Source organism: Homo sapiens, chromosome 2 (assembly GCF_000001405.40).
Source record: "Homo sapiens chromosome 2, GRCh38.p14 Primary Assembly".
In the NCBI taxonomy this organism is placed as follows: Eukaryota; Metazoa; Chordata; class Mammalia; order Primates; family Hominidae; genus Homo; species Homo sapiens.
This window is the reverse complement of record NC_000002.12, coordinates 223845445-223864178: the sequence shown is the minus strand read 5'-3', so window position 1 is coordinate 223864178 and position 18734 is coordinate 223845445. Positions and strand designations below refer to the sequence as shown.

General features: G+C 44.2%; 1 long non-coding RNA gene across 1 annotated transcript; it reads left to right on the top strand.

Moving 5' to 3' along the window:
• Window positions 1–7151: 7151 nt before the first annotated feature.
• LOC124907988 (uncharacterized) lies at window positions 7152–16911 on the top strand. The gene is made up of 2 exons (XR_007088099.1): window positions 7152–8401; window positions 16644–16911. It is a non-coding gene; the product is annotated as an uncharacterized LOC124907988 (long non-coding RNA).
• Window positions 16912–18734: the final 1823 nt, after the last annotated feature.

Below are 18734 nucleotides of genomic sequence, written 5' to 3'. Positions count from 1 at the left end.
AAAATTTTAAACATTGTTTTACAAAGACAGATTATACTTGTGTGAACAAACCATTTAAAACTGTGGTAACGTAATGGATGAAGAGTAAGAAGAAACTTTTATATATTTTTTTAGATTTCAAATCTTCAAAGCCAGTAGACAAAGGTAGTTTTTTTAAAAAAATTGAATGTCTTTTTTAAAAAAACTAAAAAAATTTTTTTAATCTAGTGTTTTATATGTTAAAATGTATTAACTAAGGATAGTACACAATTAAGCACCTAATTGTGTTGAAAATGCAATTGCACATTTAGAAAAATTGTCCCTAGTTTATGAAGTTGTTTCTGTGCTCTAATAATCATTTCAATTGCTGTTTAATCTCTCTATTTAAACTATGTGTCTGCATCTTAATGAATCCAGTGGAAGCTTCTAATTAAGTACATAGTGCTGGATTTATTTACACCGATTGCCTAAGTCTCAAAACCAAGTCACAGCAGGATCCAGGGAAGCAGTTACATCTCAGAGAATAAAACACCATTACAGAATTTATTCCCGTGTTTACACTAGTGTCTAGAAGCCAAATACTGAAAAGAACATAAAAGGAAGTGTGTGTGCTTTGAGTAAGTCTTGAAGCTACTTAACTTTTTTTTTTTTTTCCCCCATCAGGGCCCTTATTAGAGTTAATTTAATGAACAACAAAAAAACATGATTCGGCCGGGCGCAGTGGCTCATGCCTGTAATCCCAGCACTTTGGGAGGCTGAGGTGGGCAGATCATGAGGTCAGGAGATCGAGACCATCCTGGCTAATATGGTGAAACTCTGTCTCTACAAAACATAAAAAAATTAGCCAGGCGTGGTGGCACGCACCTCTAGTCCCAGTTACTTGGGAAGCTGAGGCAGGAGAATCTCTTAAACCCGGGAGGTGGAGGTTGCAGTGAGCCCGGCCTCCGTAAATTTCTTAAGGAAGAATGCCTGGGAGATGATTATGTTTTTAGTCTGTGATATGGTTAAGCTTTTTGTCCCCACCCAAATCTCATCTGAATTGTAATCCCTGTAATTCCCACATGTCTCGGAAGAGACCAGGTGGAGGTAATTGGATCATGAGCGTGGTTTCCCCATGCTGTTTTTGTGATAGTGAGTGAGTTCTCACGAGATCGGATGGCTTTATAAGGGGCTCTTCCTCCTCCGCTTGGCATTTCTCCTTCCTGCCACCTTGTGGAAATATCCAGCTACAAGTAGTTCTTTATAACAGTATGAAAATGGACTAATACTGGCCAGGCGCTGTGGCTCACGCCTGTAATCCCAGCACTTTGGAAGGCCAAGGCAGGTGGATCACCTGAGGTCAGGAGTTCCAGACCAGCCTGACCAACATGGAGAAACCCCTGTCTCTACTAAAAATACTAAATTAGCCAGGCATGGTGACGTGTGCCTGTAATCCCAGCTACTTGGGAGGCTGAGGCAGGAGAATCTCTTGAACCTGGGAGGCAGAGGTTGCAGTGAGCCAAGATTGTGCCATTGCACTCCAGCCTGGGCAACAAGAGTGAAACTCCGTCTCAAAAAAAGAAAAAGAAAAGAAAGAGAAAGACAATGGACTAATACAGTCTGTGTGTGTCAGAAATATTTTCCATTGCATATTAAAAAATAAATGACTAGCCAGGTATGGTGGCACATGCCTGTGATCCCAGCTACATGGGAGGCCGAGGCACAAGAATCGCTTGAATCCGGGAGGCAGAGGCTGCAGTGAGCCAAGATTGTGCCACTGCACTCTAGCCTGGACAACAGAGTGTGACAGAATCTCTCTCAAAAAATAAAATACAATAAATAAAATAAAATAAATAAAAAGGCCAGGTACGGTGGCTTATGCCTGTAATCCTAGCACTTTGGGAGGCTGAGGCAGGCGAATCACATGAGGTCGGGAGTTTGAGACCAGCCTGACCAACATGGTGAAACCCTGTCTCTACTAAAAATACAATAATTAGCCAGGCATAGTAGCAGTCACCTGTAATCTCAGCTACTTGGGAGGCTGAGGCAGGAGAATCTCCTGAACTTGGGAGGTGGAGGTTGCAGTGAGCCAAGATCGTGCCATTGCACTCCAGCTGGGTGACAAGAGCGAAACTCTGTCTCAAAAATATATATATATATATTTGCTGTCAGCCTATGATTTTAGGTTGTGTTCCTTTGAGGCCAAGCCTGTCTGGATACAAAGTTGGTCACCTTTCTTTACAAGCAGGCTGCTCTCTCCTTTTCCAAATGGCCTAGTGTTACTGCTTTTATTGTGTGAGCACCTGAGTCCAGAGAGGGCAGAGAAGGTAAAGGTGATAGAGGGGGAGAAGAATTCCCAATATACATTGTTTTTCTTTTCCAATCAAAGTACTAAATTCTTTACCTGGATTATTTTATTTAATCCTTTTAAGAACTCCTTGAAATAGGAATTTATTTTTATTCCCATTTTATAGGTGAAAAAATGGTCCTCAAATTCTACTTTTTCCCTTTCCCAAACACATCCTTTTATTGCCTGCCCAGCAATTCTGAGCTCCCAGAGGTGGCCAAAAGGAGGGGCTAAGGAACATGTTCATGACAGCCTAGGGTAGAAAGAGCTTGGACTTTGGCCTCAGACTTATCTTGGTTTGAATTCCAGTGTTGCTACTCACTAGTCATGTTAACACTTGCAAGTTATGCAAACATTGTGGACATTCACTGGTTTTATTTTCTGTAAAATCAAAACCAGTGTGCAATAATATAATGTATGTAAAGATTAAGACATGTAAAGTAGCTAGTCTAGTATCCACGGTGGATAATAAATATGGGTTTCTTTCTGCTTCCTTCTTTCAACTGGAGATAATGGGGATGAACTGGAGCTTGAAGCTGCCCTGTGGAAGGAGATGGAGGAGAAGGAGCCTTTGTGGGAAGTGACCGGGAAGGCAAAGCTCACCCCGCAGTGGCAAGTTGCCATATGTAGACTGGTTGTTGCATCCTGAGTTCCTGGTTTGTGGCCTAAAAAGAATGTAGGGTGAGGCTGGGCACAGTGGCTCACACCAGTACTCCCAACATTTTGGGAGGCTGAGGTGGTAGGATTGCTTGAGTCCAGGAGTTTGAGACCAGCGTGTGCAACATAACGAGATGTCATCTCTACAAAAAATACAAAAATTAGCCTGGTGTAATGGTGCATGCCTATAGTTCCACCTTCTCAGGAGGCTGAGGCAGGAGGATCACTTGAGCCTGGGAGACTGAGGCTGCAGTGAGCAAGATCAAGCCACTGCACTCCAGCCTGGGCAATGAAGTGAGACCCTGTCTCAAAAAAGAAAAGAAAAGAATGTAAGGTGTTTTTACAAAAGGCTAGTACTGGGTGGTGCCAGTCAGTTATCTGACCCAGCCCTTAGAATACTTGTTACCCCCTAGTTTCCTGGAAGAAGGAACTATAAAGACTGAATGAGCAGGGTTGGAGGTGTGGATGAGGCCCCACTCTCCAAGGGTGGCCAGGATGGCTCAGCATGGGGGACACCCTCCAATGGAGCTGCGGGCCTGAGAATCAAGGTCCAGAAAGGAAGAGTATCTGGAACCCAGGAACATTCCTCAGGGGGATCTTTTTTTTTTTCTTTTTTTGAGATGGAGTCTCACTCTGTCGCCCAGGCTGGAGTGCAGTGGTGTGATCTTGGCTCGCTTCAACCTCCGCCTCCCAGGTTCAAGCGATTTTCCTGCCTCAGCCTCCCGAGTAGCTGGGACTACAGGTATTTTGTATTTTTAGTAGAGGCGGGGCGGAGTGAGACTCTGTCTCAAAAAAAAAAAAAAAAAATAGAAATGTTTGGAAAGGCATCAACAAAATATACTTACAGAATGAATTAATGAAGTTTCTAAGAACTTCATTCATAACCCTGGTTCATAAAGAACATTTTCCCACATAATGCCTTCTATTTTCTCTAGGTCAGAGGGTGGGGAAAGGCTCTTACTGGTAGCTATTACTCAAAATGAACACAGGAGGTCTCCACTGCCATGCCTTGGCCTAAAATGGCCTTGGTTTTCCTTGGAAGTCATCTGCATCTGCCTCTCGTAAGACTATTAACTTAGTACTTAAGGTCCAGAACAAAAATAGAAAATGTTTATGTGGGCCGGGCGTGGTGGCTCACACCTGTAATCCCAGCACTTTGGGAGGCTGAGGCGGGCGAGTCACATGAGGTTGGGAGTTTGAGACCAGCCTGACCAACATGGTGAAACCCCGTCTCTACTAAATATACAAAATTAGCCGGACGTGGTGGTGCTTGCCTGTAATCCCAGCTATTTGGGAGGCTGAGGCAGGAGATTGCTTGAACCCGGGAAGGGGAGGTTGCGGTGAGCCGAGATCGCGCCATTGTACTCCAGCCTGAGCAACAAGAGTGAAACTCCGTCTCAGGAAAAAAAGAAAACATTTATGTGGTGCTCTGGGAGATTCATTTTGACCAGATATCCAACTCTGAGCATTCAGACTCTCATTTTGCCTGAAAGTGTAGATTTTATGCCAGAGAACCATCTAGTCAAATGTTCAATGAAGACTAAATGGGAGAAATGGAAAATGTAAGACATTCCCAGCCACCTCCCAAGGAAAATGATTTCCTGTGTTGCACAGGGAGGCTCGGGTAAGCAAGCACCCCACTGCCATGGCCTGGGAGGGGGGACATCATTTGAGAAAGGATTCAAAGAGAAAAGAATGAGACTGGGCGTGGTGGCTTATGCCTGTAATCCCCGCACTTGGAGAGGCTGAGGCAGGAAGATCACTTGAGCCCAGGAATTTGAGACCAGCCTGGACAACATGGTGAGGCTCTGTCTTTACAAAAAATAGAAAACTTAGCTGGGCATGGTGGTGTACGCCTGTGGTTTCAGCTACTTGGGGGGCTGAGTTAGGAGGACCCTTTCAGTGCAGGAAGTTGAGGCTGCGGTGAGCTATATAATTGCACCACTGCACTCCAGTCTAGGTGACAGAGTGAGAACCTGTCTCAAAAGAGGGAGAGAGAGAGAGGAAGGAACAGGGTCCTGTTCACGAGTTCTTTATTGATGAGGACTAATGAGGTTTGGGTGCCATTCTGCACAATAAGCTAAAAGAAAGAGGTTGTTTTCTAATAAAATTCCATCTCTGTATCAGCCCAGCAGGCCTGCCTCCCCTGGATCTCCTCTCACCTGCTCCTGCCTCCATTCAGTCTCAGGCACTCTCTGTCTCTCCCACACCCTTCACCTGGCTGGTCTCCTTTCAGGCTTCAGGTTAAAGGTTTCTTCCTCAGAGAGTCTCTCCCAGAATTCCCCCATCTCAGTAGATTTCCCCATTATTCTCTATCACTGGCCCCTGGTTTTATCCATCAGAGAACTTTTATTATTTTTATTTTATTTTATTTCATTTTATTTTTTGAGACGGAGTCTTGCTCTTGTCGCCCAGCCTAGAGTGCAATGGTGCGATCTCGGCTCACTGCAACCTCCGCCTCCCCGCAAACTTCACCTCCTGGGTTCAAGCAATTCTCCTGCCTCAGCCTCCTGAATAGTTGGGATTACAGGTGCATGCCACCACGCCCGGTTAAGTTTTGTATAAACTCAGCTAGGGCAGGAGTACCATCTGTTTCATTCACTGGTGCATACTGTTAAAGGGAAAACTTCAGCTGAATTAAATTTAAAGAAGCTTAATTGAGCAATGAACGATTTGCGAATCGGGCAGACCCCAGAATCACAGCGGATTCACAGAGACTCCAGGGATGCCTCATGGTCAGAACAAATTTATAGACAAAAAAGGGAAGCAATGAACAGAAATCAGCAGTGAGGTACAGAAACAGCTGGATTGGTTACAGGTTGGCATTTGCCTTATTTGAACACAGCTCGAATACTCAGCAGTCTATGCGTGGTTGAAGAATGGCCACTGGGATTGACTCAGGTGTTGTTACAGGTGCATGCTCCCAAGTGAGGTTTTCAATCTTGCCTGCCTATTAAGCCAGGTTACAGTTTATCTACAAGGATTCAAATATAGAAGTATGGAGTCCTTCTCAGGCCGTCTTTAGTTTGCTTTAACAATGTGTACCTAGCACAGCACCTAGCACATAGTAGGTACTTAATGTAGAATGGCTGAATCGAGCTTAATAAGGAAATAACTAATGGTGGGTGAATGAGGTGCTTGTGAATAAGGAAAGTGGCACGAGGAGCCTCTAATCATTTAATAATTATTAATAAATTAATAGACAATTAATGCAATTCCCCAGTCATTTATTAAATGTTATGTTAAAAAGTGAGTTATGTTATCTGCTTTAAATCTGGTATTCTCTACCTAGACAGCCTTCAAGGCTTCACTTGTGATGGGGGAACTGGGTATGAAGCAAGTCATTGGGAGTTTGGGGCTGAAGAGAACAGAAAAATAATTCACTCTGAAGCCTGTGGAATGTGTTTCTCATGGGCAGAGAGAGAGAGTCGGAACTCTAACGCCTCTACTGGTCTTGGGGCAGATGTGGTCCAAGTAAGTTCTTTGTGTTTGCCTAGGACAGTGGTTCACAAATTTTGGTATCAACAAGAACAGTTAACTTTTATTTATTTATTTATAATAGATGGGCTATGCACCCTGAAGGAGGAGAGAGGAGATTGAAAGTTCAGGAATACAACAAGATGAAAACAAAATTTTTGTTTTGAGACAGGGTCTCATGGCTGGGTGTGGTAGCTCACACCTGTAATCCCAGCACTTTGGGAGGCCGAGGCAAGTGGATCACAAGGTCAGGAGATCGAGACCATCCTGGCCAACATGGTGAAATCCCATCTCAACTAAAATACAAAAAATTAGCCGGGCATGGTGGTGCACGCCTGTAGTCCCAGCTACTCAGGAGGCTGAGGCAGGGGAATCGCTTGAACCCAGGAGGTGGAGATTGCAGTGAGCCGAGACCACGCCACTGCACTCCAGCCTGGCAACAGAGTGAGACTCCGTCTCAAAAACAAAACAAAACAAAACAAAAAACAGACAAGGTCTCACTCTGTTGCCCAGGCTGGAGCACAGTGGCTTTATCTTGGCTCACTGCAGCCTCAACCTCCCGGGCTCAAGTGATCCTCTCACCTCAGCCTCCCGAGTAGCTGGGACTGCAGGCATGCGCCACCATGCCGAGCTAATTTTTTTTAACTTTTATTTTTAGTAGAGATGGGGTTTTGTCATGTTGTGCAGGCTGGTCTTGAACTCTTGAGCTCAAGCAATCCACCCACTTCAGCTGTCCAAAGTGCTGGGATTACAGGCATGAGCCACTGTGCCTGGCTAGAACAGTGAACTTTTATCAAGCATTTACTAGGTACCAGGCATCATGCTAAACACTTTTCAGGTAATTATTGTGGTTAATTCTCACAAGAAAACTATGAGTTGGGTACTAATATTATTTCCACTTACTGATGAGGAAACTGAAGCACGGAGAGGTGCTGTAATTAGTCCAAGCTTGCTGTGGTTTTAGCGCGTTGCTTCAGTGACTCTCTGCACACCAAGCCTGGGGCCACTTCTCTGGATGAAGTTTCCATGGCTTCCCTGAGGCCTCAGCAGGACTTGGCCCATGGTTGTTTGAGTTCTGTCTTTGAATCCGTGGAACCTTGGCCCACATCCAGGGTGGCAACTCCATACCTCAGGCTGGATGAAGAGAACGTGGTGTGCAGGACAGGGGGCACTCTTCAGAATTTTGCCCACAAACATCCAAGGTTTGGGTAGAATAAATGTAGCTAAATGAGTGGAGAATGAAGGACAGGCATAAAGGAAAACTCTAAGTCCAGATACAAACTGGAGGCTGCAAGAATAAGGGCAGTGGAAAGACCATGGGCTTGAGAGCCAAGATAACCCAAATTTGAATGCCAGTGCTTTGCTAGTGAGATGATCTTAACAAGTTACTTACTCATTCTGAGTCTGTTTTCCTTTCTGATAAAAGAGGGATAATAACCTACACAGAGGACCTGGAACTATCTCAGTGCTTTCTAAAATATGTTAGGAAAGAGGAAACAAGTGTCAAGGACAAGAATGTGTTTTAAGAAAAAAGATAAAAGGAGGATGAGTTTGCAGAGAAAACCTCCGTGCTGAAAGAATTCCTGGCAATTGATTGCTTCACCCACGCCTAACAACTCTAGGTCAAAGGGGCAGAATGTTTGACTTAAAGGTAAGATGACCAGCCAGGACCTATTACCAATTTAACACTGTTTTTAGACCCACATCAGAAAAAGCCAACATGTAACTACATTCTTAAGGTGGCATAATATCATAAGGACAGAAATTAGAAAGTAAAGTACTTGATTGCCTAATTTTTTTTTTTACTATTATTTTTTAAACAGAGATGGGGTCTTGCCAGGTCTTGGCCAGGCTGGTCTTGAACTCCCGGACTCAAGCAACTCTCCTGACTTGGCCTCCCAAAGTGTTGGAATTACAGGCATGAGCCACTGCAGTAGCCCTGATTGTTTTAAATAGAAGAAGGTAAAGTATTTTCTCACATAAATTTCTGAATGTGGGAGGCAGCCTACTGACATTGCTTCACGTAACAATCTCCACTTTACAGATCCACCAAATACCAGTATGCTTTTATATTCCTTACCCTGCAGAATCCTATGCATGTGACCGCACAGAGCCTGCTTCTGTGTGCGATGACTGTTCTGCTTGTTTGTTGAGTTTCATGTGAAATTCGAGTGGGGCTCACACTGCTGGTGATATTCCAAGGCATCTCACTCAGCTCTCATCATTGCTTTTATTTATTTATTTATTTGAGACAGAGTCTTTCTCTCTCGCCCTGGTTGGACTGCAATGGTGCAATCTCAGCTCATTGCAACCTCTACCTCCTAGATTCAAATGATACTCGAGCCTCAGCCTCCTGAGTGCTGGGATTACAGGTGCCCACCACCACACCCGGCTAATTTCTTTGTATTTTTAGTAGAGACAGGGTTTCACCATGTTGGCCAGGCTGGTCTCAAACTCCTGGCCTCAAGTGATCCACCCACCTCAGCCTCTCAAAGTGTTGGGATTACAGGCATGAGCCACCATGCCCGGCCCACCATTGCTTTTAAACATGCTCATAAGACTGCACCATCTTCACCTGCTTTGGCAAAAGGTATTTTGAGCAGTGTGTATGCAAGGCAGCTTTTTCATGCTGAATTTTATAATTTTAATTAACAATAGTTAACATTTACCACTAGTGTTACCAGAAAGGGGTCCCTATCCAGACCCCAAGAGCAGATTCTTGAACCTTGCGTGGGAAAGAATTCAGGGCAAGTCCATAGAGTAAAAGTGAAAGCAAGTTAATTCGAGAAGTAGAGAAACAAAAGAATGACTGCTTCATAGACAGAGCAGCAGTATGGGCTGCTTAACTGAGTATACTTATAGTTATTTCTTGATTATGTGCTAAACAAGGGGTGGATTATTCATGAGTTTTCTGGGGAAAGGGCAGAGATTTCCCAGAACTGAGGGAACAGACTATATAGGGTAACTTCTATATAGGGTTTTTTAGAGTATATAGCCTATAGTTTTTTAGACTATATATAGGATAACTTCTATATAGGGTAACTTTACAAATGCCATGGTACTTGTAAACTGTCATAGCACTGGTGGGAGTTTTTTAGCATGTTAATGTAATTGGGATGTAATGAGCAGTAAGGATGACAAGAGGTCACTTTCATCACCATCTTGGTTTGGGTTGGTGTTGGCCAGCTTCCTTACTGCATCCTGTTTAATCAGCAGGGTCTTTGTGACCTGTATCACATGCCAACCTCCTATCTTATCCTGAGACTAAGAATGTCTAACCTTCTGGGAATGCAGCCCAGGAGGTCTCAGCCTTATTTTCCCAGCCCCTATTCAAGATGGAGTCACTTGGGTTCAAACATCTCTGATGGATGGGCATGGTGGCTCACGCCTGTAATCCCAGCATTTTGGGAGGCCAAGGCAGGCGGATCACCTGAGGTCAGGAGTTCGAGACCAGACTGGCCAACATGGCGAAACCCCGTCTCTACTAAAAATAAAAAAATTAGCAGAGCATGGTGCCATGTGCCTGTAATCCCAGCTATTCAAGAGGCTTAGGCAGGAGAACCAGTTGAACTCAGGAGGCAGAGGTTGCAGTGAGCCCAGATTATGCCACTGCACTCCAGCCTGGGCAACAGAGTGAGACTCTGTCTTAAAAAACAAACAAACAAAAAACAACAAAAAAACACCTCTGATACTAGTAGTAATAATAGCTATACTTACTGAGTACTGACTAATCCTACCAGCATCTTTAGGAGACATAGGAATTATTATCTTCATTTTACAGATTAGGAAACTGAGGCACAATGAAGTGAAGTATCTTGCCCAAAGTCACTTGACTGGTAGGAGAAGAAGCTGGACCAGTGCTCAAGGCTTCTGGCTGCAGATGCTTCTCTCCTTCTGTAAGACAATCCAGGACTCAGCACAGGACTATGAATCCACAATACCCTGGGTAGGGCTTAGCTCTCAAACGTTTCCCTTTCCAACTCACTTGAGGGCTAGGTAACTGATTGTTCTCCATCCTTCCCAACCCTCCAAGCCCCCAACTATTCTATGGATTTTGAATCACTGTCCTTGAGGTTTGTTCGGTCCCTTGCCCAATATATATATTTACCTAGTGACTTCACTTATGCTGAACCTACACATGGTCATAGGATTACACAGGGAGTTCACCTAAAAGCTACAAAACCAAAGATTACTCATCAGGAGCACCAGGGCTAACTAACGATTCTCTGGCTGATGTTGACATTTAACACCAACTATGGAGTTCAGTATGTTGGATAGGGGGTTGGCAATGTGTGATACCATTAAGCTTCAGACCAAACAAAGACCTTTCATATATGAAGCTCTGTTCTACACAGCTCTAAACATGGCCCCAAACATCACTTTGTTGTATTGAGCAATTGCCTATACCTTCTCCTGGAGTTCTAGGCCACTGGATATGTCAGATAGCCGTAAGCACCTTTTTTCTTTTTCTTTTCTTTCTTTTCTTTTTCTTTTTTTTTTTTTTGAGATGGAGTCTCACTCTGTCACCCAGGCTAGAGTGCAGTGGCACGATCTCAGCTCACTGCAACTTCCACCTCCTGAGTTCAAGCAATTCTCATGCCCCAGCCTCCTGAGTAGCTGGAACTAGAGGCGCATGCCAACACTCCTGGCTAATTTTTGTATTTTTTGGTAGAGACAGGGTTTCACCATGTTGGGCTGGGCAGGCTGGTCTCAAACTCCTGACCTCAAGTGATCCACCTGCCTTGGCCTCCCAAAGTGCTGGGATTACAGGCGTGAGCCACTGGGCTTGGCCTGAGCACTTTTTATAGTGTAGCAATTATTTGAGCATTCAGATTTCTAAAGTAGGATGCATGTGGATGGTGAGTAAATGGTAGCAGAACTCAGATAAGAGTGGGATGCAGCAGTCAGGAATGACACCCATTCTTTTAAACCAAGACCCTGAGTGGGGAAGGCAAGTCAACCAACACTGACTGTAGGATCAACTCAAAAGCTGGTCTTTACATGGGAACACATTCTGGTTACTCTAATGGCTTTAAGTCTTAGCAACCATTACTCCGACATATACTGCGTTTTTGACTGTGACTATAACTGCCAGCCCATATCTAAGGTGCATTTGCATACCATACCTTTTCCTTTTTGATGTAGCCGTGATAACCATCAGCATGCTTTGCTCAAGTACTTCATATTCAGTAGGACTTACCAGATAAGAAACTCAGGAGCTGCTCCTCTCTGAGCCAATGAGAAACTCAGTTGCTGCTCCTCCCAGGGGCACTTATCTTTAGTTGAGTTAGCCTTTAATCAGATTGCCATTATAACTGGGCTCTGTTCTGAAAGAAAGACCTGATAAATCTTGTTTGATGATGCCAAGTAAGTCATGTCTATTTGCAGATTTCAAAGATTATTGCTAAGAATTCAGGCTGGGTGCAGTGGCTCATGCCTGTAATCCCAGCACTTTGGGAGTCCAAGATGGGCAAATTACTCTAGCCCAGGAATTGAGACCAGCCTGGACAACATGGTGAAACGCATCTCTACAAAAAAAAAAAAAAAAAAAAAAAGAGGAGCCAGGTGTGGTGTTGGGTGCCTGTTACCAGCTACTCAGGAGGCTGAGGTCAGAGGATTACCTGAGCCCAGGAGGTCGAGGCCGCAGTGAACCAAGATTGCATCACTGCACCCCAGCCCAGATGACAGAGTAAGACACTGTCTCAAAAAAGAAAATAAAATAATTTAATAGCAATTAGGGCAGGCTTTGCATAATCACATAGACAAAAATGTACTCTTTTGCTGGGCATGGGGGCTCACACCTGTAATCTCAGTTTTGGGAGGCCGAGGTGGGCGGATCACCTGAGGTCAGGAGTTTGAGACCAGCCTGAGCAACATGGTAAAACCCCATCTCTACTAAAAATACAAAAAACTAGCAGGATGTGGTGAATCATGTGGTGTGGTCCCTGCTACTTAGGAGGCTGAGGCATGAGAATCACTTGAACATGAGAGGCAGAGGCTGCAGTGAGCTGAGACTGCACCACTGTACTCCAGCCTGGGCAACAAAGCCAGACTCCATTCCACCCCCCTGCCCCCCTAAAAAAGTCCTCTTTTCCTTTGAATATACACTCTTTTTTTTTTGTAAAGACAATCTAGCATTTTATATTACTCTGTTCTCATGCTGCTAATAAACACATACCCAAGACTGGGTATTTTATAAAGGAAAGAAGTTTAATTGACTCACAGTTCCACATGGCTGGGGAGGCCTCACATTTGTGGTGGAAGGCAAAGGAGGAGCAAAGTCATGTCTTGCATGGCAGCAGGCAAGACAGAATGAGAGCCAAGTGAAAGGGGGAGCCCCTTATAAAAACAACAGATCTTGAGAGATTTATTCACTACCATGTGAACACTATGGGGGAACCTCCCCCATGATTCAATTATCTCCCACTGGGTCCCTCCCACAACACATAGGAATTATGGGAGCCACAATTCAAGGTGAGATTTGGGTGGGGACACAGCCAAACCATATCATTCCACCTCAGCCGCTGCCAAAGCTCATGCCTTCACATTTCAAAACCAATCATGCCTTCCTAATAGTCCCCCAAAGTCTTAACTCATTTCAGCATTAACTCAAAAGTCCATAGTCCAAAGTCTCATCTGAGATAAGGGAAGTTCCTTCCACCTATGAGCCTGTAAAATCAAAAGCAAGTTAGTTACTTCCTAGATATAATGGGGGTACAGGAATTGGATAAATACACCCATTCCAAACAGGAGAAATTGGTCAAAATGAAGAGGCTAAAGGCCCCATGCAAATCCAAAATGCAGCAGGGCAGTCAAATCTTAAAGCTCCAAAATGATCTCCTTTGACTCCATGTCTCACATCCAGGTCACGCTGATGCAAGAGGTGGGTTCCCATGGTCTTGGGCAGCTCCACCCCTGTGGCTTTGTAGGATACAGCCTCCCTCCCAGCTGCTTTCACAGGCTGGCATAGAGTGTCTGTGGCTTTTCCAGGCACACAGTGCACGCTGTGAGTGGATCTTTCATTCTGGGGTCTGGAGGCTGGTGGCCCTCTTCTAACAGCTCCACTAGACAGTGCCCCAGTGGGGACTTTTTGTCGGGGCTTCTACCCCACATTTTCCTTCCTCACTGCTCTAGCAGAGGTTCTCCATGAGGGCCCCACCCCTGCAGCAAGCTTTTGCCTGGACATCCAGACATTTCCATACATCCTCTGAAATCTAGGCAGAGGTTCCCAAACCTCAGTTCTTGACTTCTGTGCACCCACAGGCTCAACACCATGTGGAAGCTGCCAAGGCTTGGGGCTTGCACCCTCTGAAGCCATGGCCTGAGCTGTATCTTGGCCCCTTTTAGCCATGGCTGAAGTGGCTGGGACACAGGGCACCAAGACCCTAGGCTGCACATAGCAGGGGGGCCCTGGACATGGCCAGGAAACCATTTTTTCCTTCTAGGCCTGAGGGCCTATGATGGGAGGGGCTGCCTCAAATGTCTCTGACATGCCCTGGAGACATTTTCCCTATTATCTTGCCAATTAACATTTAGCTCCTCATTACTTATGCAAATTTCTGCAGCTGGCTTGAATTTCTCCTTGGAAAATTGGATTTTCTTTTCTATCACATGGCATCATCAGGCTGCAAATTTTCCAAACTTTTATGCTCTGTTTCCCTTTTAAAACTGAATGTTCTTAATAGCACCTAAGTCATCACTTGAATGCTTTGCTGCTTAGCAATTTTTTTCTGTCAGATGCCCTAAATCATCTTCCTCAAGTTCAAAGTTCCACGAACCTAGGGCAGGGGCAAAATGCCACCAGTCTCTTTGCTAAAACGTAGCAAGAGTCACCTTTACTCCAGTTTCCAACAAGTTCCTCATCTCCATCTGAGAGCACCTCAGCCTGGACTTCATTGTCCGTATCACTATCAGCATTTTTGTCAAGGCCACATTTTCCTGTCTTCTTCTGAGCCCTCCAAACTCTTCCAACCTCTGCCTGTTACCCAGTTCCAAAGTCGCTTCCGCATTTTCGGGTATCTTTATAGCAGCGCCCCACTCTATCAGTACCAATTTACTGTATTAGTCTGTTCTCACATTGCTAATAAAGACATACCTGAGACTGCATAATTTATAAGGAAAGAGGTTTAATTGACTCACAATTCCACGTGGCTGGTGAGGCCTCACAATCATGGTGGAAGGCAAAGGAGGAGCAAAGTCAAGTCTTGCATGGCAGCAGGCAAGGGAGAATGAGAGCCAAGTGAAAGGGGAAACCTCGTATAAAAACATCAGATCTCACGGACTTAACTCATTACAAGGAGAACAGTATGGGGAAACCAACCCCACGTTTCAATTATCTCCCACTGGGTCCTTTCTGTGACACATGGGAATTATGGGAGTTACAATTCAGGATGAGATTTAGGTGGCGACACAGGCAAACCATATAAAATTTATAGTGTGATAACATTTGAATAGTATTAATTAGTAGATATAGGTGATATGGTTTGGCTGTGTCCCCACCCAAATCTCATCTTGATTGTAATTCCCACGATTCCCACATGTTGTGGGAGAAACCTAATGGGAGGTGATTGAATTATGGGGGTGGGTCTTTCCTGCGGTGTTCTCATGATAGTGAATGAGTCTCACAAGATCTGATGGCTTTAAAAGGGGCGTTTCCCTGCACAAGCTCTCTTCTCTTGTCTGCCGCCATGTGAAACATGGCTTTCGCCTTCCACCTTGATTGTGAGGCCTTCCTGGCCACATGGAACTCTAAGTCCATTAAACCTCTTTCTTTTGTAAATTGCCCAGTCTCGGGTATGTCTTTATCAGCAACGTGAAAATGGACTAATATGATAGGTCATCTGGATTAAGATGCCATTAAACCCCTAGTGCAGAAGATGAAAGTGACTCTAGGTATATTTGCCTCATTCTTTAATAATTTTACATTCTCACAGTTTCACATTGTGCTGTGTCTACACAAATCCTAAGGATGTCATGAACAAACAATAAGGCAGACCAACCCTTGGTGATATGTATGTAGCTATGTTTTGTTTCATTTTAATGAATTTGTGGTCTTTAGAGATAATGGACAAAAGTAATTTATGGATGGACCTGGGGCCTGGAAGTCCAAGCCTTTTCCTGAAGAGGGAGGGGCCTACTCAAGGCATCCACTGTGGAGGACATCCCTGGTGACTGTAAACCTGTGGCATCTGGCTTGCTGGCTTTTGCCCTTTCCTTAGGGATCTGTCTGGCACCCACCATGGCTCTGGCTCTGGACTCATACCCCTCTTTTCATAAACCCTAACTGCATGGAAAGCATGTTGTAAACATGCTCATGTAGAAATGGAAACAACTCGAGAATTTGTATACTGGCCTTCCCTGGTGATTAATTTCAATTGGCAATAAAAGCCACAACCTAAAGGAACTGAATGTTTGAGGAATTCAAAGAGTCATTTCTATGGGGGCATGTGTGTGTGTACATGCACACATGTCTATGAATTAAGTTATACACAGACTTTGAATTTCACGGCCAGATGACCAGATTCTTCTCAAATCTGAAAAAAAAATACATTTAAAGTCTCACCCAATTGGGCACGCAGCTCTTTGAACAGTTTCTTCCAGCATTATGTCCCTATGCCCTGCAGCCTAATACCTTCTCAAGTTGATCTCCCCCCAGGCACAGCCTTGTTCCAGCCACACATTAACCCCTTGCCCTGTACTCTGCCCCCATCATCCTCATCCTGACTGAGAACTAAGCTCTGATTTTTTTAATCTTGCCCAAATTCCTATCTAAGGGGTCTGGAGGGTCATGCCCTATAAACCATAAATTCTCATCAGATGGGTTTTATTTAGCTCTATATATCATGAGTTACTTTGCAACCTGACTCTGGCATAACATTACAAGACAAGGAAGAAAATAAAAATATTTTACCCCAAAACATGTTTCTTTGCCATATCTTGAAATGGCCCTGCAAAGCTGTCCTTTGTGGGGGAAAATTTGCATCTGCGGAGAATCTCCATTAACATAGCTGGATCTTTTTCTTCCAGGTACCCCCGTGCCATCCCCCGCAATAGTAAAGATATTAACTAAAAGTCTAGCACCTTTTAAAGATCTGAATAGGAAACATGTGTCATCGGTTGTCTCTAAGGGCAGCCACTTCAAAAAGAACCTTGTTCTCCACAATCTTTTATCTTAACCTGAGCATTTCCTTTCTATCCATCCCAGGTCTTTAGACAAACTCAACCAATTGTCAACCAGAAAATGTTGGAAGTTCCCTCCTACCCCGCCCGCCTTTGAGTTGTCCGGCCTTTCTGGACCTAACCAATGTATTTCTTAAATATATTTGATTGATGTCTCATGGCTCTTTAAATGTATAAAAGCAAGTTGTGCCCCAACCCCGGCCACCTTGGGCACATGTTCTCAGGACCTCCTGAGGACTGTGTCCACAGGCCATGGTCACTTATATTTGGCTCAGAATAAATCTTTTAAAATATTTTACAGAGTTTGACTCTTTTCATCAACACGACTCAAAACCCTGTGACAAATCTTCCTTGTCTAAATTATTTGGCATAAGTTGTCTTCAAAGTATTGGTCTTAACCTACACTAGCAGCTTTAAAACACCCACTTTCCTAACTTTCTCCATGTTCCAGCTAAACTACGGGGTAAGTGTGAAGACGAGAGCTATCCAAAGACTGAACTTGGGTATGACAACATGTAGAGGTTTGGGAGATGAGGGGGATTCAACAATAACAAAGGGACATGGCCAATGAAGGAGAAGGAGAGCCCAGAGAGGGGTGCTGTAGAGGCCAAGAAAGCAGTTTTTCTTCCTGGAGAGGGACAGGAGCAGTGTGGTCTAATGCTGCTGATGTGTGAAATGAGATGAAGGCTGAGTGTTGCCCATTGGATCAGACAGTACAAGCTCATGGTGATCTCATTGGTAATCTTATAAAAGTAGCTTGGTGGAGTGTGAGGGCAGAAGCCTAATGAGAATGGATTGAAAGAATGTGGAATGAGATCATACCACACCCAGCAGGAACTTATTCTTAACTCAAGAATCACATGAGTTGTCCTTACTGATAGGAATTGGTGAAACAGAGACTCTCATATACTCCGTACAATCTTTCTTGATGAATACATAGATAGTGATGCAATGAGCCATGATTGTGTGTGATTGCATTTCATCCTGGGCAACAAAGCAAGACCCTGTTTAAAAAAAAAAAACCCTAAACAACAACAACAAAAACAAACACACACACAAAACCCTTTATGAATTTATCCTGATATAACCAGAAGCTTGGACACAAATTTTATGCACAGGACTTCTGTTGTAGTATTTGTAAAATGACAACTGGAAACAATCTCTGTATTTTGTTTTAAGAACATAGACTCCAGGAATTGTATTACTTATCCAATTGTACGGAAATAGAAAATGAGTAGCCCAAAATGGCCTATTAAATGTCCTTTAAGTATCGTGGATTTTTTTTCTTTTTTTTTTTTAAGTTAGAAATTGGCCGGTGTGGTGGCTCATGCCTGTAATCCCAGCACTTTAGGAAACTGAGGTGGGTGGATCACTTGAGGTGAGGAGTTCGAGACCAGCCTAGCCAACATAGCGAAACCCCCCATCTCTACTAAAAATACAAAAAATTAGCCGGGTGTGGTGGCACACGCCTGTAATCCCAGTGACTCCAGAGGCTGAGGCAGGAGAATCGCTTGAACCCGGGGAGACGGAGGTTGCAGAGAGCCGAGATCACACCACTGCACTCCAGCCTGGGTGACAGAGTGAAACTCTGTCTGAAAAAAAAAAAAAAGCTAGAAATTGATATTGGGAGATTCTCATGTATAATAAGTGAAAAGTCCACTATGACTATCCTGGTTGAAGCCACCATATCATCTCTCACTTGAAATGTTATACCTCTTAACAAATCTCCTTGCATTGTCTCTCTTCTGCCACGGTTCTATTCTCGACACTGCAGCAAATAGGATTATGGAATTATTTATTATTATTATTTATTTATTTTAGACAAAGTCTTGCTCTGTTGTCCAGGCTGGAGTGCAATGGCGTGATCTTGGCTCACTGCAACCTCTGCCTCCCGGGTGCAACCGATTCTCCTGCCTCAGCCTCCTGAATAGCTGGGATTACAGGCATGCGCCACCACGCCTGGCTAAGTTTTGTATTTTTAGTAGAGATGGGGTTTCACCATGTCGGCCAGGCTGGTCTTGAATGCCTGACCTCAAGTGATCCACCCGCCTTGGCCTCCCAAAGTGCTGGGATTATAGGCGTGAGCCATTGCAACCAGCCAGATTATGGAATTACT